Source organism: Homo sapiens, chromosome 19 (genome assembly GCF_000001405.40).
Source record: "Homo sapiens chromosome 19, GRCh38.p14 Primary Assembly".
Classification (NCBI taxonomy): Eukaryota; Metazoa; Chordata; class Mammalia; order Primates; family Hominidae; genus Homo; species Homo sapiens.
The window spans coordinates 1248577-1267235 of record NC_000019.10 but is presented as its reverse complement, the minus strand read 5'-3'; the positions used below and the strand labels follow the sequence as shown (position 1 = coordinate 1267235).

The 18659-nt window shown below is 65.5% G+C and overlaps 1 protein-coding gene, 1 long non-coding RNA gene and 1 other non-coding gene across 7 annotated transcripts, besides 26 other annotated features; 1 reads left to right on the top strand and 2 right to left on the bottom strand.

Annotated features, from left to right (window-relative positions):
- Positions 28-917: a silencer, noted in NCBI's record as "silent region_9691". NCBI's record gives its function as "represses an Ori minimal core promoter by ATAC-STARR-seq in GM12878 lymphoblastoid cells {active_cell/tissue: GM12878}" and the evidence as "EXISTENCE:reporter gene assay evidence [ECO:0000049][PMID:35858748]".
- Positions 695-5442, top strand: LOC105372236 (uncharacterized). Its single transcript, XR_936233.3, has 3 exons — positions 695-2723; positions 3677-3806; positions 5066-5442. It is a non-coding gene; the product is annotated as an uncharacterized LOC105372236 (long non-coding RNA).
- On the bottom strand, positions 2816-6123 carry LOC107985303 (IQ motif and SEC7 domain-containing protein 2-like). The gene is made up of 3 exons (XR_007067083.1): positions 5595-6123; positions 5093-5196; positions 2816-2983 (listed from the first exon to the last, which is right to left on the bottom strand). It is a non-coding gene; the product is annotated as an IQ motif and SEC7 domain-containing protein 2-like (transcript).
- Positions 3646-3695: an enhancer, noted in NCBI's record as "active region_13607". NCBI's record gives its function as "activates an Ori minimal core promoter by ATAC-STARR-seq in GM12878 lymphoblastoid cells {active_cell/tissue: GM12878}" and the evidence as "EXISTENCE:reporter gene assay evidence [ECO:0000049][PMID:35858748]".
- Positions 3736-3825: an enhancer, noted in NCBI's record as "active region_13606". NCBI's record gives its function as "activates an Ori minimal core promoter by ATAC-STARR-seq in GM12878 lymphoblastoid cells {active_cell/tissue: GM12878}" and the evidence as "EXISTENCE:reporter gene assay evidence [ECO:0000049][PMID:35858748]".
- Positions 5016-5325: an enhancer, noted in NCBI's record as "active region_13605". NCBI's record gives its function as "activates an Ori minimal core promoter by ATAC-STARR-seq in GM12878 lymphoblastoid cells {active_cell/tissue: GM12878}" and the evidence as "EXISTENCE:reporter gene assay evidence [ECO:0000049][PMID:35858748]".
- Positions 5416-5595: an enhancer, noted in NCBI's record as "active region_13604". NCBI's record gives its function as "activates an Ori minimal core promoter by ATAC-STARR-seq in GM12878 lymphoblastoid cells {active_cell/tissue: GM12878}" and the evidence as "EXISTENCE:reporter gene assay evidence [ECO:0000049][PMID:35858748]".
- Positions 5636-5865: an enhancer, noted in NCBI's record as "active region_13603". NCBI's record gives its function as "activates an Ori minimal core promoter by ATAC-STARR-seq in GM12878 lymphoblastoid cells {active_cell/tissue: GM12878}" and the evidence as "EXISTENCE:reporter gene assay evidence [ECO:0000049][PMID:35858748]".
- Positions 5906-6145: a silencer, noted in NCBI's record as "silent region_9690". NCBI's record gives its function as "represses an Ori minimal core promoter by ATAC-STARR-seq in GM12878 lymphoblastoid cells {active_cell/tissue: GM12878}" and the evidence as "EXISTENCE:reporter gene assay evidence [ECO:0000049][PMID:35858748]".
- Positions 6156-7075: a silencer, noted in NCBI's record as "silent region_9689". NCBI's record gives its function as "represses an Ori minimal core promoter by ATAC-STARR-seq in GM12878 lymphoblastoid cells {active_cell/tissue: GM12878}" and the evidence as "EXISTENCE:reporter gene assay evidence [ECO:0000049][PMID:35858748]".
- Positions 7516-7675: an enhancer, noted in NCBI's record as "active region_13602". NCBI's record gives its function as "activates an Ori minimal core promoter by ATAC-STARR-seq in GM12878 lymphoblastoid cells {active_cell/tissue: GM12878}" and the evidence as "EXISTENCE:reporter gene assay evidence [ECO:0000049][PMID:35858748]".
- Positions 8093-18653, bottom strand: MIDN (midnolin). Of its 5 annotated transcripts, none has more exons than NM_001388306.1 (9): positions 18576-18653; positions 16707-17346; positions 15587-15674; positions 15335-15397; positions 13154-13282; positions 12758-13069; positions 12175-12334; positions 11542-11814; positions 8093-10241 (listed from the first exon to the last, which is right to left on the bottom strand). In NM_001388306.1, exons 2-9 carry the CDS (start codon positions 16937-16939, stop codon positions 9964-9966), a joined length of 1536 nt encoding a protein of 511 aa, NP_001375235.1. In that variant the 5' UTR covers positions 16940-17346; positions 18576-18653; the 3' UTR covers positions 8093-9963. The 5 variants fall into 5 exon arrangements, with proteins under 5 accessions (NP_001375235.1, XP_005259729.1, NP_796375.3 ...); XM_005259672.4 differs by having other exon boundaries at positions 12175-12331; NM_177401.5 differs by lacking the exon at positions 13154-13282.
- Positions 8096-8245: an enhancer, noted in NCBI's record as "active region_13601". NCBI's record gives its function as "activates an Ori minimal core promoter by ATAC-STARR-seq in GM12878 lymphoblastoid cells {active_cell/tissue: GM12878}" and the evidence as "EXISTENCE:reporter gene assay evidence [ECO:0000049][PMID:35858748]".
- Positions 13970-14179: a silencer, noted in NCBI's record as "silent region_9688". NCBI's record gives its function as "represses an Ori minimal core promoter by ATAC-STARR-seq in GM12878 lymphoblastoid cells {active_cell/tissue: GM12878}" and the evidence as "EXISTENCE:reporter gene assay evidence [ECO:0000049][PMID:35858748]".
- Positions 14270-14499: a silencer, noted in NCBI's record as "silent region_9687". NCBI's record gives its function as "represses an Ori minimal core promoter by ATAC-STARR-seq in GM12878 lymphoblastoid cells {active_cell/tissue: GM12878}" and the evidence as "EXISTENCE:reporter gene assay evidence [ECO:0000049][PMID:35858748]".
- Positions 14520-14599: a silencer, noted in NCBI's record as "silent region_9686". NCBI's record gives its function as "represses an Ori minimal core promoter by ATAC-STARR-seq in GM12878 lymphoblastoid cells {active_cell/tissue: GM12878}" and the evidence as "EXISTENCE:reporter gene assay evidence [ECO:0000049][PMID:35858748]".
- Positions 15020-15279: a silencer, noted in NCBI's record as "silent region_9685". NCBI's record gives its function as "represses an Ori minimal core promoter by ATAC-STARR-seq in GM12878 lymphoblastoid cells {active_cell/tissue: GM12878}" and the evidence as "EXISTENCE:reporter gene assay evidence [ECO:0000049][PMID:35858748]".
- Positions 15259-16198: an enhancer, noted in NCBI's record as "H3K27ac-H3K4me1 hESC enhancer chr19:1251037-1251976 (GRCh37/hg19 assembly coordinates)". NCBI's record gives its function as "activates a minimal SCP1, AML or CMV promoter by ChIP-STARR-seq in naive and primed H9 embryonic stem cells {active_cell/tissue: H9 hESC(naive and primed)}" and the evidence as "EXISTENCE:reporter gene assay evidence [ECO:0000049][PMID:30033119]".
- Positions 15259-16199: a biological region, named in NCBI's record as "H3K27ac-H3K4me1 hESC enhancer GRCh37_chr19:1251037-1251976".
- Positions 16090-16199: a silencer, noted in NCBI's record as "silent region_9684". NCBI's record gives its function as "represses an Ori minimal core promoter by ATAC-STARR-seq in GM12878 lymphoblastoid cells {active_cell/tissue: GM12878}" and the evidence as "EXISTENCE:reporter gene assay evidence [ECO:0000049][PMID:35858748]".
- Positions 16270-16339: a silencer, noted in NCBI's record as "silent region_9683". NCBI's record gives its function as "represses an Ori minimal core promoter by ATAC-STARR-seq in GM12878 lymphoblastoid cells {active_cell/tissue: GM12878}" and the evidence as "EXISTENCE:reporter gene assay evidence [ECO:0000049][PMID:35858748]".
- Positions 16410-16499: a silencer, noted in NCBI's record as "silent region_9682". NCBI's record gives its function as "represses an Ori minimal core promoter by ATAC-STARR-seq in GM12878 lymphoblastoid cells {active_cell/tissue: GM12878}" and the evidence as "EXISTENCE:reporter gene assay evidence [ECO:0000049][PMID:35858748]".
- Positions 16510-16629: a silencer, noted in NCBI's record as "silent region_9681". NCBI's record gives its function as "represses an Ori minimal core promoter by ATAC-STARR-seq in GM12878 lymphoblastoid cells {active_cell/tissue: GM12878}" and the evidence as "EXISTENCE:reporter gene assay evidence [ECO:0000049][PMID:35858748]".
- Positions 17140-17189: a silencer, noted in NCBI's record as "silent region_9680". NCBI's record gives its function as "represses an Ori minimal core promoter by ATAC-STARR-seq in GM12878 lymphoblastoid cells {active_cell/tissue: GM12878}" and the evidence as "EXISTENCE:reporter gene assay evidence [ECO:0000049][PMID:35858748]".
- Positions 17200-17249: a silencer, noted in NCBI's record as "silent region_9679". NCBI's record gives its function as "represses an Ori minimal core promoter by ATAC-STARR-seq in GM12878 lymphoblastoid cells {active_cell/tissue: GM12878}" and the evidence as "EXISTENCE:reporter gene assay evidence [ECO:0000049][PMID:35858748]".
- Positions 17430-17899: a silencer, noted in NCBI's record as "silent region_9678". NCBI's record gives its function as "represses an Ori minimal core promoter by ATAC-STARR-seq in GM12878 lymphoblastoid cells {active_cell/tissue: GM12878}" and the evidence as "EXISTENCE:reporter gene assay evidence [ECO:0000049][PMID:35858748]".
- Positions 17930-18049: a silencer, noted in NCBI's record as "silent region_9677". NCBI's record gives its function as "represses an Ori minimal core promoter by ATAC-STARR-seq in GM12878 lymphoblastoid cells {active_cell/tissue: GM12878}" and the evidence as "EXISTENCE:reporter gene assay evidence [ECO:0000049][PMID:35858748]".
- Positions 18043-18576: an enhancer, noted in NCBI's record as "H3K27ac-H3K4me1 hESC enhancer chr19:1248659-1249192 (GRCh37/hg19 assembly coordinates)". NCBI's record gives its function as "activates a minimal SCP1, AML or CMV promoter by ChIP-STARR-seq in primed H9 embryonic stem cells {active_cell/tissue: H9 hESC(primed)}" and the evidence as "EXISTENCE:reporter gene assay evidence [ECO:0000049][PMID:30033119]".
- Positions 18110-18569: a silencer, noted in NCBI's record as "silent region_9676". NCBI's record gives its function as "represses an Ori minimal core promoter by ATAC-STARR-seq in GM12878 lymphoblastoid cells {active_cell/tissue: GM12878}" and the evidence as "EXISTENCE:reporter gene assay evidence [ECO:0000049][PMID:35858748]".

Sequence of the window (18659 nt, the reverse complement as noted above, 5' to 3'; positions counted from 1 at the left end):
GCGATCCTGTGTCCCCACCGGGGGTCTCAGGCGGCTGGGACCCCTTCATCCACCCCTGCTGGCCACTGACCATGCGGGACCCGACCGGGACGCGCTGCCCGTTGCGGACACCAGGGGGCGCTGCGGCCTCGCTCCGTCCGCGGCGTTTGGCTCGAGCGGCCGGGCTCCCGGTGCCGCCGCTCCACGCAGACGCCTCGCGTGGGAGAGGGGGCCCCGCCGCCCAGCCCTGCGCGGCCACAGCGCACAGTCCTCGAGGGGTCCAATCTCGCGGGGCGAGGACGCAGCCTGCGTGTCGACCCCCAGCCTCCCGCCGCCCCCGCGCCTCGGCCCCAACGGAGGAGCTCAAAATAGCCGCGCCGGGCGGGGGCGAGACTGCTATTCCGGGCCCGACGCGCGGGGCTCGCCCCTGCCCGGCGAGGCGCGGGGATCAGTCAGAGTCCCCGAACCTGCTCCCCGCGCGTCTGTCTTGGGCCCCGTGGGCCCATTCACAAATCCGCCCCCTTTCCAGCCTGCCGTCTCGGAAGGGGCGCGCACCTCCTGCACCCTGATACTCCTCCCGGGCCTCCTCCCCTGCGGGGCGTCGCCATGGAGACGAGGGCGGAGCTCCCTCGCTCCCGCACCGCCCACTCCGCCCTCCCCACGGGGCCCCGCCCGCCGGACGCCAGGTCCTCCCCCGACCCCGACTAATGACCGGGCGGGAGGCGGTAGAGAGCGTCTAGGCCTGCGACGGGCGTGGCCGAGGATGAAAGGCGCGTGGGGGGGACCCCGGGGCCGCATAATTACCGCCTCCTCCTAGCCAGGCGGGGGCCGGGACCGTGCACCTGGCGGCCGCCCCGCGGGGGCGCAGAAATAGGACCGTCCTGGCAGAGGCTGCAGCCGACCCAGCTGGCCCCACTACGCGGGGCCCAGAGCCAGGGTGGGGGATGCAGAGACCGGGCGTGCGGGTTGCCAGGTGTGGCGCACATGTGTGCCCGTGGGCAGAGTACAGAGACACAAGCTTGTGTGGACACGAATGTGTAGCTATGTGCGAGTGCACACGGCGTGGTGAGTGCAGGGACCCCAGGCCGGCCTGCGTCGGTGCGCAGGGCATATAGGGGCGTGCACGCAGTCTTGGAGGTGTGTGCACAGAGCCCCCGGCACCCGCGTGTGTGCAAAGACACAGGAACCCGTCTGCGTGGCGCTGTGTGTGCAACCCAAGGAGGTGGGCGCTTGGACTCCAAAGTGTGCGCTTATCCGGATGTGGATGTGGGGGCAGCCGGGGACAGGGCTGGGTGTGCGTGACTCGGGTGTGCCGGGACCCACAGAGCATATGTGTCCATGCCTGGTGCTGTGACTCATGTCCCTGGGGTGGGCACGCGTGCTGTGTCAGCGGGAGCCGCGCCTCCCAGGGCAGCCCAGAGTTCCAGAAGCCCAGAAGAGGAAGGGTTAAACCTGCCTCTTCCCCCAGCTCCCAGCTGAGTCCAGGGCTGGGATCTCAGGTCCCCTGGGAGGCCCCGCGCGCCCCCCCCCGCCACCCCGCCCCACCCCCGGGCCTGAGATTCAGGGGCTGCTACACAGGAAAGCCGGACTGAGCTGCTCCCCAGCCTCAGTTTCCCTCCTGTTCCTCGGATGCGTTCGCAGGGTGGGTCGGCTTCCCTTCCCTGTGACTCACCCCCTCCCCACAGGCCTGAGTCACAGCTCAGGAATGTGGAGGCTGGGAGGCCCTGTCTACTCCTGCCCCGGCCAGGCCATCCCAGCAGCCCAAAGGCCAGGCCTGGGCCACAGAGGGACATCCCCGGCACACACACCCCGCCACAGGCCACACACAGGTGCACACCCACACCCCTGCTTCGTACCCACTGGACACAAAGTCATACACCATGCACTCGGCATCCGGAGACCCTGCCTGCCACAGGCACACGCAGTAGACAGGCTGGGGACAGGACGGACCCCGACCTGCCCTGGGGTCACACACCTGTTTGCTCTTTCAGTACACAGGATACTGCAGAGACATAGGTGACCCCTTCTGCTGGGGCGCAGACCAGCCAAGCACATGTGGCGGACGTGTAGTGACGTGCACCCATGCGTGTCTGTGACGTGCAGATCAGGTGTCTGTGAAAGGCCCAAGACCCTGCATGGCCCACGGACACCCTAAAGCTGACCGAGGCTTAGGCTCGCCTGCGTGGACGCTGGGGATGCAGCCACCTAGTTTCTGAAACTGGGAAAAGGTCTGGGGGCTCCGGAGCCCCCACCTCCATGCAGCCTCAGATGTTGCTTAGCAACAGATGCGCGCTCTGGGGTAGGCGGATGGATCTCCACCTGGGCCCAGTTCCCTCTCATGGGACTACACGTCCTGTGCCTAACAGAGAGGTCAAAGAGTGGGGATTTCCTGCAAAGCCAACCAGGCTCAGGGTGGCCCTGCCTAGGGTGGGAGGTATCTCCATGGCAACAGTGGAGTGGGACAAGTGGAGAGTATTTCCCCACTCTCCCAGGCAGCTGCAGGGGCTCAGGACCTACGGAGTGCAAGTGAAGACACCTATGTTGCATCTTGCTGGAGAGGCACCTGGCACCTGCCCGCCCCAGCGTGCCTGGAGGGTTCCCACATCCAGACGGACAGACGGGCCAGGGGACACCCGTCCAGGCAGCCATGGCTGCTCAGCCACAGTCCCTGGAGGGTCAGGGGCCCAGCTGTGAGGCAGGCGGTGCCCAAGACGCTCTCTGGACCGCACTGCTTCATCTGAGAGGTGGGCATGCCAGCAGCACCTCCTGGGGTTAGAGGCGCACAGGGAAGACCTGGTAGGAAGTCGGTCAAGGGCAGTTAGCAGCAAAAGACAGCTCCACGCAGCGCCAGGCTTTCCTTGTTGTTTGCTTCCTTGATGTGGCAGTCCACATGGAATCATCCCGTATGCAGGCCGGGAGCGCTGGCTCATGCCTGGAATCCCAGCACTTTCGTTTGAGTCCAGGAGTTTGATACCAGCCGGGGCAACATAGCTAGACCCTGTCTCTACAAAAAAAAAAAAAAAGCAAAATTAGCTGGGCATGGTGGTGCTCACCTGTAGTCCCAGCTACTCAGGAGGCTGAGGCAGGAGGATCGCTTGAGCCCAGGAGTTCCAGCGAGGCTGCAGTGAGCTGTGATGGAGCCACTGCGTTCCAGCCTGGAAAGAGAGTGAGACCCCGTCTCGAAAATACTAATAACTGGGGCCAGGTGTGGTGGCTCACACCTGTAATCCCAGCAATTTGGGAGGCCAATGCGGGTGGATCATTTGAGGGCAGGAGTTTGAGACCAGCCTGACCAACATGGTGAAATCCCTTCTCTACTAAAAATAAATAAAATTGGGCTGGATGCTGTAGCTCACGCCTGTAATCCCAGCACTTTAGGAGGCCGAGACAGGCAGATCACTTGAGATCAGGAGTTCGAGACCTGCCTGGCCAACATGGGGAAAGCCCGTCTCTACTAAAAAAATACAAAAATTAGCCGGGCGTGGTGGCGGGCGCCTGTAATCCCAGCTACTCCAGAGGCTGAGGCAGGAGAATCACTTGAACCCGGGAGGCAGAGGTTGCGGTGAGCCGAGATCGCGCCAATGCACTCCAGCCAGGGCGACAGAGCGAGACTCCGTCTCAAAACAAAAACAAACAAAAATAATAATTGTCCCGTATGCTAACTCTCCTGTTTCATTTGTATTTCCAACATGCACAGAAAGACTTTTGGAAGGCATAGGTTGGGGCTCGCCTGGGAACCCCTCTCCATCCCCCACCCAGACTCCAGCAGGCTGGAGTCAAGCTTGGCTGGGCAGCGGAGGATCACTGGTGCACAGAGGGGTGAGTGGGTGAGTGTCTGTGGCTGGAGGCCCTGGGGGTGTTCCTGCCCCCGCCCAGGCGTGTGTTGGTTGTGGGGGAAGGCTGCTGCCCTCTCTGTATCTGGTCAGGGCCCTCTTTGTATCTGGTGACAGCTGCGGTGTGTGGTGGGACTCTGCAGGCTGGAGTTTTGTTTGGGGAGGCCTTGGCCCAGGCTGAGCAAGGAGGTTCTGTTTGTTTTAGGGTCACACAGTGGATTGAGGTTGGGGACAGGTATATGGGGTGTGTCTGGGGGGGGGGGTTGTGTATCTGGGAGCCTGGCACACCAGCCGCACCCATAAATGCGTGGCCTGTGGAGGGCTGTCCCGGGCGTGCTGGTCGGGGGTGTGGGATGGCTGTGCAGGCCCCTCGTGGGATGGCACCCATTGGTTTTGCTTGCTCTCCCCCAGGGCTGAGTGTGGGTAGCGTCCTGGGTATGGGGCATGTGCCCTCCGTGGAAACCAGCTGTCTCCCTTGCCCCGCTCCACCCACATTCCAGAGGGGTTGGGGGTGCCCTCCCAGGCTCCCGCCCGCTCCTCGACCTCCGACCTCGGCCCAAGCCCACTCTCTCTGCTCTGGCAACCGAGGAGGCAGCTGGCTCCAGGGAGGGACTGCAAGGCGGGGGAGGAAGCTGGAATGTGCCCCGGGGTGAAGGGGGCCCCCAGAGAGGGGGCGGAAGCAGGGGAGGGACGGAGGGGCGGAGATGGTGGTACTGGGTTGGGGAGAGCGCCAGAGATCGGGACAGAAATAGAGAAAGGCAAAAGAAAGAGAAATGGAGGGAGTGAGAACCAGAAAGAGGGTGGAGGCAGGGCCCAGGTGACAGCCTCCCCTCCCCCACCCGCTGGGCTGGGCTGGGCTGCTCACCTGTCCCAAGTGACCCCAGAGGCAGCCAGTTCTCTGCCCTTCCAGGGCTGGGCGGCCCGTGGGTGGGGCTGCACCAGGCTCCTGGGTTGGGCCCCAACGCCCTTGGCCACGGGGTGGTGGCGTCCCCAGCCTCCAGCCCGGTAACTCCCATTCCCATGGTGCTGGGAGAGGAGGGCGGGTGGGGCAAGGCCCTGTGGGGGCGGCTGTGCCCGGGCACTGGCTCAATCCCTCCAACCCAGTGGCTCTAAGCCAAGGGCCTGGCTTCCACTGCTGTCCACCCTAGCCACCTCCCAAGGCAGCTCCAAGGGCGCATTCGGCCACCCCCAGAGGACTCCGGCCTCAAGCCAAAAGCCATGACCTCCACTGACCTTCTCCTGCCCGCCCACAGCTCCGCGTCTCCCCAAGCACCGCTCACCTGTGAGATCACCGCCTGGCAGGGACGCCAGCACGGGCTCCCAGCCACAGGGCAGCTCCCACCCTGCGAACTCCAGCTCTTCCCAGGCCGCTCCAGAGGCCAGGCTGCACAAACACCTTGGCTAGTCTCCCCACCTGGCACAGGCCCTGTTCACTCCAACCACTGCCTTCTCTGAGCACACACCAAGTTGGAGCCCACAGCCAAGCAGCGGGCGGCCACGGGGGATTCCTGCCTCCTGAGTCCTCAACTCTCTTGGCCCGGAGCTCACACCGGCATTTCAGATTTTCTCCTTCCCCCTGTTACCCCCGCCTTGCCAACCACCTCCCTGTGGACCTAAAGCCACCACCTTCCGGGCACACCGTAGTTCCTTTTTCGTCTCTACCTCCCCCAGGGTGAGGCCGCCAGGGTCCCCATCGATCATCGATCCAACTCGACCGCCCCCCAAAGTCCAGGCCACGGGTCTAGCCACCTCCCAGATGTCCTGGCCGCCGCTCCCCCTCACCTGCTCTTCCTCTCTGGTCCCCCAAGTCATCCCTCCAGTGGCCGACTTGGGGAATCACCGTTTAGGGTCCTTGTCAGCCTCGCCTTTCCTCCCATCTTTGATTTTTCTCCACCAACTGACTTCCCGGTTGCCCCCGAAAAGCACTCGGTTTCACGTTTCCGGGCCTTGGCACACGCCGTGCCCCCTACCTGGCGCACCCTTCCCGCTTCCTACAACACTTGGCAAACTCCTGCTCCTTTGGCAAAGCCTCAGCCCCAAAGTCCCCCTCCTCCTAGCCTCCTGTCTGAGCTCCCCCAGCCTAGGGACCGCGGGGAGGCTGGGCCGGGGTCTGGGACGTGCAGTGGTGCAGGGGTGGGGGCAGCAGGAAACGCGTTGGCGTGAAAGGACGGGTGCACGTGAGCGTGCCCGTGCCGGGGGTCCACGTGCGGCGCCCCGGGGCTCGCCCCCTCTTCCGTCCAGGCCCCGCCGCAGCCGTCAGACCCTCGGCTGCGCCTCCCGCCCCCAACTTTGCAGACGCGCGGGGAGAGAGGCGGGGCTGCAGCGCCTCCGCGCTTGCGCCTGCGCACTCGGCGCTGCCGGGCTGAAGTCCCGCCTTCTGGAGGCTTCGTCGCGCTGCTACTGGGGCACGCCGATGAGCGAGCGGTGCGATCACCAATGAGGCTTCCCCGCTGGTGGGCGGGGCCTGGGCCGCGCGACGCGCGGACGGGGGCGGGCAGGGCGCCCTACCCGGGGTGACGTCAGGCTCCTTTCGCGGCGCGTTGCCCTGGAAACCGCGTTTCCATCCCGGCGGGTTTCCGGGGGCCGCCCCCTCCCATTCAGCTTTTTCCTCAATGGTTGGGGGAAGGGAGCGATCCAGGGCCGACCCCGCCCCGCGAGATCCCAGCGGTCCCTGCCCTCTTTGTGCCTCAGTTTACCTCTCCGTGCTTCCCTACGCACACTTGGCCTCCGCCTGCCGCCCCTCCGCCCGCTGCACCCCTGGTTGGGCTGACCCTACCAGGCCAGGGCTCTGAGCCTGGAGCTCCATACCCCACCCCACGCCCCCAGGGCACAGCCTTGACCCCTGGGATCCCCAGTCTGGGGTGGGGGTCGGCATCCCGAGGGGCGGGTCCTGGAGTGCAGGGGACGCGCCCCCCACCCTGCAGGCTACAGACACAGCCCCTGTGATTCAGCAGGTGCTTCAGACAACATCCTCCTTCCTCCTTCCCACCCCGCCCAGCGAGGGGGCGGTGGCGCCCTGGGGCCCTCGCCTTGACCCCAGGCCTGGCGTCGGTGACCCGCACCCCCACCCTGAGCCCCGAGGGGACATCCGCACCAGGGACGGGGCGGGGGGTGGGTGCCGCCTGACTGGGCATCCGCCTTCCTGCCGTGGGCGTGCGATGATTTGGGGTTGACTGGGCGTTGGGAGGGGCAGAGGGGTCTCAGGAAGGTGCTCCCAGGCCACTCTCTGAACCTGTGCCCCTTCCCCTGGGGGCTCCCGGTACTGGGGCCCCTAGAGATGGGATAAGGGGTGGAGGTCACATCATTGAACAAACACCCCAAATCCTCTGGGCCAAGTGATGTTCCTCTTTGGGCCTCTGTTCTCCCATCTATAAAATGGGAGCCCAATTACTTCTCATAGGCAACTCTTGTTACCTGAGGAAATACAGGTTACAAAATTTAAAAAAAGACATGAAATAGTGTTATTGCCTCATCTCTGCCCAGCCCGGACATGGGTGGAGGTGGGACCCCAGAGAGGACTCAGTCCTGGTGAGGCTCACGGGGAGCTCCAGGCTAGGGACAGAGAGAGGGAAGGGTGGGGTCTGCGGGACGGGGTGGACAGGGGTGGAAGGCGCAGGCTGGGGAAGTTCCCAGACAGCAAGGGACAGCCGGACCAGGGGTGTTCCTAGACAGGGGGCAAAGGCCGGGAGGTTTGGAGCTGAAGGCCAGGTCTGGGAAGGGCTGGAATGTCAGGAGGTGTGGCCAGAGAGGCCCCCCAGGGCTGGGTCAAGCCAGGCCTGTATCACCTGCCAGCCCAAGGTACCCTGCGGAGTCCTAGGTCCTCCCAGTCGGCCTGGTGATCTCCCTGCAGCAAGCCACACAGATGTGAGACTCCAGGAAGGGGAGCAGGTGGGTGTGGCAGAGTGGGAGTCCCCGACTCCTGTGGCTGGGGAGAGCTGGTGGTCGCGTCTCCCCCATACTGGCAGGTCCTGAGGGGGCCAGGGTCCTGCCCAGGCCACGAAGCAGGCAGGCAGGCCCTCGCCCCACACCCTAAGGGACTTCCGGCCTTGGGTACCAGGAAGTGGCTGGGCTCCTCCCTCCCACCCTGGCTGCTTCCTGCCCACCCGGCAGCCGGGGAAGGAGCGTGGGAAATTCTCAGGGCCCTGACCCCTGCCCCACCCCCTCTTCGGGGCCTTGGGACCCAGGTCAGTCCCTCTGACTCCCTGAGCTGACATCCCACCCCAGGAACCCTCCCAACCAAGGCCAGATCCCCCCACTAGGCGAGCAGGCGGGAGTCAATGTGTGTTTCATTTTCTGTTTATTACTTGAAATCACGGTGCTCGTGTAGGTTTTTTTTTTTTTTTCAATTTTATGTTTTCATACATGAAACTCACGCCAGGTGCCGGGACCCCCACAGCCCGACCCCCCGAGGGCGGGTAATGCTTTCTTGGGCAGCCCTTACCGGGCAGAGGGTGGCGAGCCGGTTCCTGCCTGGAGGTTCCACCCTCAACCAGTGGAGGCACAGACGTTATTTAAAAATCGTTAAAAAACAAAACAGAACACACATTTAAATAGGTATCCAAGACAGTTCTTCAAAAAACAAACCCGCCCCTTTTACTCCTTTTTTTTCTATTTTTTTTTCTTTTTTTTTTGGAAAAATGAAAACAAAACAAAACCCAAAATCCTTGAGCTCTACCCTCTGGGACCCCTCCCTGCCCACCCTCCCACAAAAAAATTTACAGCGCTACAGTTATAACACGTGATGTTCACATCTGAAACCATTAACTTTCAACACATAAAGGGGGGGAGTTGAGGACCTGGGGTTCACCTACGAGAACAACGGTGGGGGACAGGCAGAGCCAGGACAAGACCGACAGGTGGGGTGAGGAAGGGTCCAGACATCTCCATTATCATTAAAAAATAAAAAGTGAGTGGGGAAAAAAATCCAAAAACTACCCCATTGAAATGGCCCCAGTAGGGGATTTGTCCCTCCCCTCTGGAGACAGACACCCCTAGGGCAGGGGCACTGAGAGGCAGGGGGTCCAAATTAGACCAGCAGCGGACCCCGCCACGGGGGTTAATGCTACACGGAGTTGTCGCCCCCTGCCCAGGGGATTCACAGCTCAGCACCCCCTCCCATCCTCGCTGCAGGAGGGGCCCCCAGACAGTCCCAAATCCACATCCCTCAGGTTGGGCCGGGAAGGAGGGCTCGGAGGGGGGAACTCCCCAGCACCCAGCCATTCTCTCCCCTTTTTCAAGAGTTCCCCAACCACTATTGGCTCAGTCAGAAAATTAATAGTCTATAAATACCCCAAACTCAGGCAGGAGGTCAGAAAACACGGGAGTGGGGGCGGAGGAAACAGCACAGTCCGCCGGCTGGGGCGGGGCGGAGGGCAGGCTGGGGGGGTAGTTCCCCTCTCCCTTCCCGACAGGAAAGGGTGCCATGCCCCTGCACCCAAACCCCATGGGGACCTCAGCCCCAGCCTCTGCTAAAACAGCTTTGCTCTCCTTGTTAAAGAAATGAAGGAAAATGCAAAAAAAAGATCAAGAAAAGAGGATAGGAGTGGAAGAGAAACAGTCCCCTCGTTGGCTTCTGTGACCTGTTGGCTTGCTGTAGCCCAGTGGGCGCTGCTGGCCTGGGGTGGAGACCCCGAAGTCTGCACTGGGGGGTGGGGTGGGTTCTGCGCACTGCGGCCCCTCCCCTCATCTGTAAAGTGCATAATGACATATCGACATTTTTGACTTAAAACCTGAATAGGGTCGGGGGGGAAAGGAGGCGGCGGAAGGGATGGGGCGCGTTTCTCCGTCTCCTTCACTCTCCGCCATCCAGAGAGACTGCTACATATTGGAGCTGGGGAAGGTTGGCAGGGAGGACCGACCTGGCGCAGAGGTGAAAGGAGACAGACGGAGGAGGAGGAGGAGGAGGAAGAGGAGGGCAGGAGTGAAGGGTGAAGGAGGTAGGAAGCAAAGCCCATGAAGAGTCCAGGAAACCACGGTCAGAACTTTTTAAAAAAAGAAAAAAATAATAAAAAAGAAGAAAAGAAAAAAAGACTTCTGGCTGGGGGAGTGGCCGCCTGCCCTCCAGGGCTGGGCCACGTTCTCTCCGGGGCTCTCGGAGTCCCCGCCGCCCTGGGCTGGGGTGCGAGGGGCGAGGGTGGCCGATCCGAAGATCCTAAGCCACCACGAACTCTGACTTGATGTCAGGGTTGACTTCTGGCTTCCACACGGAGTCCTCGAAGTCGAGGCCCAAGCCGGAGGCCTCGCTGGGGCTGCCGCCGCCCCCGCTGCTACTGCTGTCGCTGCGGCCGGCCTTGCGGCTGGGTGACCAGTGGTACGGACCCCGCGCGTCCCGCCGGGCCTTTCTACGGAGCCGTTTCTGCTGCAGAAGCAGCTGCAGCCGTTCCACCTTGCAGCGCGTGGCGCGGTTTTCTGTCTGCCGAAGCCGGTCCCCTGCAAAGGAGGTAGTGGCCTGTGACTCCCAAAGCCTCCACCTGCTGAACACAGAGGACCACCCCAGACCCCAGCAAATGCCCCTGAGGTCAGACACAGTCCTGCCCTCCCTGGAGGGAGGTCAGCAAAGGAAACAGTCAAGGACATCCACCATGCCGGGCACAGTGGTTCACGCCTGTAATCTCAGCACTTTGGGAGGCCGAGGCAGGAGAATCGCTTGAGCTCAGGAGTTCGAGACAGGCCTGGGCAACCTCAGGAGTTCGAGACAGGCCTGAGCCACAGAGCGAGACCCCTCCTCTACAAAAATTACAAAATTAGCTGGGCATGGTGGTGTTTGCCTGGAGTCCCAGCTACGCAGCTGGCTTCTAATTCTCCAGCTCAGCCATGAGCTGGGGAGGTCAGGACTGTCCTGCCTCATTCTTCCTGGAGTCCTACATGGAGGGGGCTTGGCCGCTTCTGTGATCCGAGGGGAGATACTTGGGGGTTGTACCTTGGTTTTTTTTTTTTTTTTTTGAGACGGAGTCTCGCTCTGTCGCCCAGGCTGGAGTGCAGTGGCGCGATCTCGGCTCACTGCAAGCTCCGCCTCTGGGTTCACGCCATTCTCCTGTCTCAGCCTCCCGAGTAGCTGGGACTACAGGCGCCCACCACCACGCCTGGCTAATTTTTTGTATTTTTAGTGGAAACGGAGTTTCACCATGTTAGCCAAGATGGTCTCGATCTCCTGACCTCGTGATCCGCCCGCGTCGGCCTCCCAAAGTGCTGGGATTACAGGCGTGAGCCACCGCGCCCGGCCAGTTTCCCACTTTTAAACTGAGCTGGGAGGAGCCCCCGCGACGGGTGCAGAGCCCAAGGGCAGTACAGTAGCCATCTTCTGGTGAGACTCTGGAGGGAGTAACCCGCCGTTTGGGAGTAGCTGGGGCCAGGCTGGCAGGGGGGTTGTGTTCGCTGCTTTTCCAAGTCACTGAAATGCTTAGGGGTGGGCTCTGGCCCCGCCTCGGCCTGCCAGGCCTGACTTGGCCATTCACAGAGGCACCAAATGCCATCTGGAGATGATGCCCCGGGTGGGGGTGGGGCAGGAGGAAGTGGGCCTGTGGCCCCCCGGGAGCACACAAGGACACTTTGTGCCCTGACACACATGCTGCCTTCTCTCCGGGCTGGAGCAGAGCAGTGGCCACGGCAGCTGCCATCCCCCCCAGCCCCTGGGCAGGTCAGCTGCTCCTGAGCCCACCAGCTCACACAGAGGGGCCTTGAGAAGCCCAGGCGGGCGGGGAAGGTAGGACCCCCGAGGGTGGCCACTCACCCGGGGGCTTGCACATGCGGATCTGGCTCTGGCCCTGCAGCAGGGAGGCTGAGGGGGCAGCCGTGAGCTTCTCGCAGGAGGTAGTTCTGGGGGCCAGGTCGGGGGCCGGTGAGGCCGGGGAGCACTGGGCGTGGCAGCGGAGCTGGGCCAGCGAAGGGGGCATGCCCTGGTAGTGCCGGGTGGCGCTCAGGAGGTCGTTCAGGATCTGCAGGATGGTGCCGATGTCACGCCGCGGCCGCCCGCTGCTGTCTTGGCAGTTGGGGTGTAGCGTGCCTGCGGGCAGAGGTGGCCGTGAGTGCCCGGCACGGGCACAGTCCCGCATGTCCAGGACGGGCGTCCACGGGTGTGAGCTCATGAGCTCAGGCAATGGCGTGGACATGTGGGCTGATGTGCACGAGGGACCACGGGGCGGGAGCGGGACACGTCCCCAGTATGCAGGCGCCTGGTGACCCGCGGCCCCCCGGGCAGGGCCAGGCGTGTGTGTGGGGGATTCCTGGGGGACATGTGAAGTGAGCAGACGGACACAGCCTGTGTATGCCCAGAATATGTGGAGTCGCCTGTGGGTGGATGTAGACCCCAAATGCACAGGGTCACGGGACACACGTGAGCTCACACATGTGCTGTGACACCTACCAGAGAAGGTCCCTGAGAAGACCCCCGGGGCGTGATTCACAAAGCTCTCGATGACGGCGCCGGGTTTTCGGGAGCGGGGGGCAGGGCTGGCCCCTGGGGTAGACGTGGTGCTGGCACCAGGACTGGCACTGCTGCTGGCCGTGGGGGAGCAGTCCATCTGCTGATGGGAGGAAGGGGCACATGAGCACGGGGTCCAGGATCAGGGGATCACCAGCAACCCAGGGACCAGAGATCACCCACCAGCCCAGGTCAGGAGATGACCTGTCAACACAGGGTTTAGAGATAAACTAGCCCAAGGTCACGAGGTCACAACCAACCCAGGACACAGAGATGACCCATGAGTCAAAGATCAAGAGATCATCTACTGGTCCAGGTCATGTCAGGCGATGACCGTCAACTCAGGATCTAGAAATACCCCACCAATCTAGGCTGGGGGATCACCCACCAGCCCGAGGTCACAGGATAGCCCTTAATACAAGGGACTCACCTGGGACTAAGAGTCCTTGTCCTCCCCAAGACCTCCCCAGGACGGCCCACCCTTTGGATTCCAACCAAGGGTCACCCTTCCCTTCCCCAGGCTCACCTCCGGGCAGGTGGTGGAGGCTGCGTGGGACCGGAAGGAGCCGGCTGTGATGGGCGAGGGAGATGCAGGGGACGGGCTGGTGGGCACCGGGGGGACTCGGGCGGCACTGGACACCGGCCGGCAGGGCGAGGACACGGGGGAGGCTATGCTGGGGTCCCCCCGCGCAGCAGCGGCGGCGGCCGCAGCGGCCAGCACATGGCGGTGTTGCAGTGGAGCGTGCTGGGCCGCGAGCTGCAGCTGCACGAACATCATGTGGTCGCCCACACGCAAGGCCAGTGTCAGTGGCGAACGGCCCGACAGGAAGTCACTGACCTGCAAGGAGAGCGGTCCGTCAGCTGGGAGCCCCAGCTTGCGGCGCCCCCAGCCCAGCCCGGCCCAGTCCCCCCGCGCTGTGACCTGGGGCCTCTCGCCGCCCCTCTCTGGGCTCTGGGGTCCCTGTCGGTGCCACGGACGCTTAAATAAAATGAATCTGTATTTCCGGAAGCCTCCTCCGCCAGCCCGGCCCGGCCCGGGCGCCGCTGGGGGCTGTGGGGACAGAGGCGGGTCAGACGGGGGCCTGCCCCTCCCTGGCCAACTAGGTCGGTCTTGCAAGGGGAAACTGAGGCCAGAGGGGGCGGGGCCCAGCTGGCAGTCACTGACCTCAAACAACCTTCACTTTGCCTTTCCCCCACCCTCATGGGCCCCTAGATCCTCTCTGCCTGTGGATACGGGAGGGGCTCCACCTCAGGCCCCCTCCCAGCTAAGTCACCAGGGCCAGCAAGTGGGTGGAATTCCTGCACGAATTCTTCTGTCCTAACCTTTGCTTTCTCAAGATAAATATTTATCTGTCCTGGGCGGGGCGGAGGCCTAGGGGGCTGTGGCAAGGCTGCAGGAAGGGGCCCTGACCGCCCTGGGGCTGGAGTCCCGGAGGGCACAACCTGCTCCAAGCACAGAAACCCTCAATCTGCCCCCGTTCAGGGTGGGTGTGGGTTGAATCTCACCCTGTCCTCGCCAAGCCCCCTGCTCTGGGTATGGGCCAGAGCCCTGCTCTCCCCAGTGGCCGGGATGGGGGGGGGGGTGGCGGAGGTTTCTGAGAAGTGACATAGGCTGGGATGACTCAGAACCGACCGCCTCCCAGCTCTCCCTCCCGGCTCTCCTCTCCACTGGCAGTAGCTGGCGTAACCTTCTCTGCTTGGGGCCCATGGGGAGGGAGGCAGGGAGGAGGGCAGGGTGAAGCCCCCACCCTGCGGCCCAGCCTGCCCGGCCCCCTACCCCCCTGCCCCAAGACAGCCTTTGCAGGAAGGGCCCGGGGTGGCTTCCCGAGAGCAGCTGGAGTCCCCACCACCACCCGCCCTGCAACTTCCTCCCTGGGGAAGGCTAATGGGCGGGCATGACTCGGTGCCAGGCAGGGAAGCAACCCTGGGGAGCCCAGTGTCTCCGCCCAGCACCCCCTCCAGCCCCCCCCAACCCAGCTCCTTCCTGACGCAGGCGCCCAGGGAGGAGGGTGTGAAGCCAACACGCCCTGGGCCCCCTGCCAACCGCAGCCCCCCAGCGGCGGGGAGCTCTGCTCACACTCGCCCCAGGAAATCACCTGCAGCCCCCGCCCTGGCTCGGGACCCCGGCTCTGCCCCCACGCCACTGCTGCTGCTGCTGTGGCCACCCCCATGGCAGACCACCCAGCTCCCGGCCCCCGCCCTGCCCCCGCGATGTAGGGAAAGGGCAGGACTCTACATGCCGCTGGGAAAGCGGAAGGGGGTGCGGGCCTCGGGGCCAGGGAGGCCCGGGAAGCCGGCCACCCCTTGCTGGGGCGGGTGGCAGCCTGCGTCCCCCACCCTGGCAGCGGGCGGATTGCTGAGGCCTGTGTCACCCTCCTGGGAGGTGGCCAGGGCCCTTGTCTGAGGAAGGCTTGGCCGCAGCCAAGAAAATGAGGAAAGAAGGAGAAAAAAAAAAAAAAGTCCGCAGCAAAACCGGGAACCGGGTGAGGGCCAGCCCCAGCCTCCCTCCTGGCCGCTTACTAAATATTTTCCTAACATCCTGTCTAGGCCTCACTGGCCCCAGGGCTGGGCACCCCCGCCCCCTCCCCTTTCGGGGTAGAGAACAAAGGCCAGAGAGAGGAGGGGAGGGTGACGAGATCCCCACCCTCTCACGATGGGGGTCACGGAAGGCGGAAGGAGTGTCACCCAAGCCGCCACCCCCAGCCCTCAGCAGAAATGTAAAAAAGGAGAAACTCGCTCTGGGGAAGCCACAGCGGCTGGAGGGGGGCTCCTCGGTGGGGGCGGAGGGGGCTGGGGATGCAGGCCAGGGTGTGAGCGGGGATGAGGCCCCATAGGCCAAGGTCATCCTGCAGGCAGTCTTGTGAAAGCCAGGCCCCCTTCCCCCAGGGCAGCCACCGTGGGAGAGAAAGCCCTCCGGGTCAGGTGGTGAATCTTGGGGGAGAGGAGGTGGGGAGGCCAGGCCAGGCTGGCACCCAGGCGGGGTGGCGCGTCCCCTCCCCTCCCCCAGCCTCCTGGGAGCACAGACAACCCCCAGGCCCCGTCGGTGGCCAAGGCACCCTGCTCCCAGGGCTGCCCTGTTAGGAAGGGGCTGGCGAGGTCTTACCTGCGTCTCCGTGAGACTCTCGAGAGCTTGCATCACGGACTGTTCCGGCCTTGAGGCCTGAGACTACAAAGAGAGGGAGGAGAGGGGCCTGAGTGTGGGGTCGGAATCCTGGGCTGGAATAGGGGGTGGAGAGGGCCCTGCTGGCTGGCGGGGTGGGGGCCCCAGGTAGTGTGTGTGCGGACAGGTACCGAGGGAGGGGCTACTGCCTGTGTGCGGGGGCCTCTGGGGGCACGCAGCCCCATGGCCATTTACCATGAGGCCCGCTTCCACGGTGGGTACCAAGGTCAGCTTGCTGCCATCACCCACGCCGAACTCCTGCAGCTTCCCCGAACTGAGCCGGCTGGGGGGAGGAAGGAAGAGCATGAGACTCCGCGGAGACGACACAGGGACGCGGAAGCAGAGGCCGCGGGGGAGGGCTGTGCTTGTGTGGGGAGAGACGGATAAGTTCCCACCCCCACCCCTTCCCGGCTTCCAGATCCAGGGCCCTAAGCGCGTGCAGAGAGGTCTCCGTCTGGTGCTGGGAGCCCCATCCTGGCGATTCGGACCCCTTCCCTCCAGTGGAACCCCCGCCCTGGACTCTGGCACCCCCTCTGCACCCCAACCAGGCACTTTCTCCTCCTCTGGGCCCCAGTGTGCTCTATGCCACCTTCCCCCACGACCCCAGGGCAGCCCCTGCCCCCAATTCCCTAATTCTAGTCCTGGCTCCTCTTTGTAGGAACCACGGGTTTCGGCCCGAGGAGAGGCCCTGGGGGTTGCGCCGGGCCGGGCTCCCCCTCCTCCTCCCTCCCCGGCGCAGGCGGCCGCCGCCGCGCAGACAAAGGAGACCCTCCCCCTCCGCCCCTCCCCCGATGGGCCCCTCCACTGGGATGGACACTGCGTGTCCCCGGAGGCCCGCGGGGGGAGGGCTCCGGGCCTGCAGGCGATTTAAATACCAGGGGGGAGGGGAGGCTGCGGGGAGCGCTCGGAGGCGAGAACAAAGGGGGGGAGAGAGACGCAAGTGGGGGGAGACAGCCAGACGCAGAGGAGGCCGCCGAGCAGATGCGGAAGCCGGCGCGGACGCAGGCGGGAGGGGGCGGTGGCGGCCCCCACACCCGCAGCCGGGACCCCCGCAACGCCCTGGGATTCCTGCCCGCCCCCAAGGGGGGCCGCCGAAGCCCGGCCCGGGACGCCCTCGCAGCCGCCTTTGTGCGGCGACCCCGGGCGGGGGAGGGGGCCGAGGCAGGCGAGGCCGAGCAGAGGGCGCCCGAGAGCGCGCGGCGCGCCCCCGCCCCCTGTCTGGCCGCCCCCTGCCTTCCCCGCGCGGCGCGCTCTTTGTTCCCGCCCGGGGGCCGGGGCCCGAGGGGGCGGCCGGCCGGGGGCGCGCGGTACCTACGTGTCTTTGTGGAGAAGAGCCAGGCGCTCCTTGGGCACTTTGAGGCGCTGGGACAACCGCTTGCGCAGCCCCTCCACCGTCTCGTCGGGCGGCACGGCCAGGTCGTAGCGGGTGCCCGTGGTGCTGTGGATGGCGAGGCTCATGGGCGCCGCCTCGGCCGCCGGGCCCAGCTCGCAGGCGCCGCCGGGGGCCCCGCGCCGGCAGCTCCGGGCGCCGCCGGGCTGCGGCTCCATCCCCGGCGCGCGCTGGGGGGCTGGGGGCGGCGGGCGCCGCCAATCCTCGCCGCGCCTCCGGGACAGGGGCGAGAGGCTCCCCGGATGCCGGGTCCTCCGGGCACTCGGGGGCGCGGAGCAGCGCGCGTCCTCCTCGAGAAAGTCCCGGCCGCGGAATGCGAGACCGAAATCCAAAATCCGAGTGGCGCTCCGAGGTCGCTCCGGCTCCTGGGGGCGCCTTCCGGGGGTGGGGACGGCACTTGCTTCTCCTTCAAAGGGCGGCGGGCGCGACCGGGACGCGGCGCGGTTAAGGGTCCTGGGGAGGGGGCGCCGCTCGGCTGGTGGCGCTGGGTGCCGTCTGCCGCCCGGGTCGCGCTTCCTCGCGCGTCCCCTCCCTTAGCAACAGCCGTCGCCGCCGCTCGGAGGATCTGGGGGTGAAAGTAACAAGAAAAAAAAGTTATAATGTATCAACGTTCCAGGGGGCGGGGCCGCCGCCCCCTCCCATTCACTACTTACTCCGCCGGCCGGGCGCCGGCCAATCGCCGCGCGCCGAGCGCCCAGTCGGCCGCGAGCCCGGGCCTATGAGAGCCGCCGCGGCACCGCCCCACGTGGCAGCCGGGCCCGCCCCCTCGCCCCGCCCCCAGCGCCCAGGCGACCAAGGGGAGCGCAGCGGGGGCGGGGCTGGCGCCTCTCCGCGCCCGCCCCCGCCCCGCCCGCGCCCGCAGCCATTCATAAGCGCCCGGAGCCCGCAACAAAGGGCGGGCGCGCCCCGGGGGGCGCGGGACCCAGGTCTGGAGACGGGTCTGGTACCCCTCGCGATCCCAAGGGAGCGGCCGGGAGCGGGAGGGGGCGCGGGCCATTGTTCCCGGCGCCGGGAGGGGCAGGAAGTCGTGGGGCCACCCCGCCGCCTTCGTCCGGGAAAAGCCGCGAGCGGAAGCGGGAGCGCGAAGTCCGCGCCTCGTGGCCGGGGTCCCGGGGCGGGCGGGCGACGGTGAGGCTAGGGCCGCGGCCCCGGGGAGGGCGTGGTGCGTGGGGGCGGAGTTGTGGCCGGGGCGGGGCGCCCGCACCTCGGTGACGTGGCCGGGTGGCTGCCGCCGGGGGCCCCGCGCGCCCACCCGCCGGCCGCGGGCAGAACCCGTTTCCCCGAGGCGCGCCCGCTCGAGCCGTGACGTGACGCGGCGTCCCCGGCTGCGCCCGCGCGCGCTCGGGGATGCGGTGAGTCAGCAGCTCGGGCGCGCCCTCTGCCGGGCCCGCCTGGGAGCGCCGCCCGGAGTCCCGGGGAGGGGGCGCCGCGCTGCCCCTGGCAGGGGAGGAAGACGACTGGGCTGCGCGCGGGGGAGGAACCCCGATCGGGAACGAAAGACTGTAGTCGGGAGACTGGGACCGTGTGGCTGGGCAACGGAGGGCGGAACGGCAACCAGTTCAAGGTCACCCGCGGTGAAGGGGGAGTGCCCCGGGGGGCGGGGCGGGGGCTGAGGTCCGGCCAGGGCGGCGCTGGCTGCGCGGAGCCCCTCCCACCCCGCACCCCGGGGGGCTTCCCAGGACCGGAGGCTCCCCGATCCCTCCTGTCCCAAGAACAAAGAAAAGTGCGGGCATCCTGAGCCATCTAGAGTGGGCACCCTTCCTCGGCCCGCAGGTCCCCCCCCTCCACACTCACCGGGCGCGGCCGGTTCTGCGCTCCAAGTGCTGCGAGTACCTTCGTCCGGGGCCGAATGCGCGCTGGCCGGGCCGGTCTGGGCCA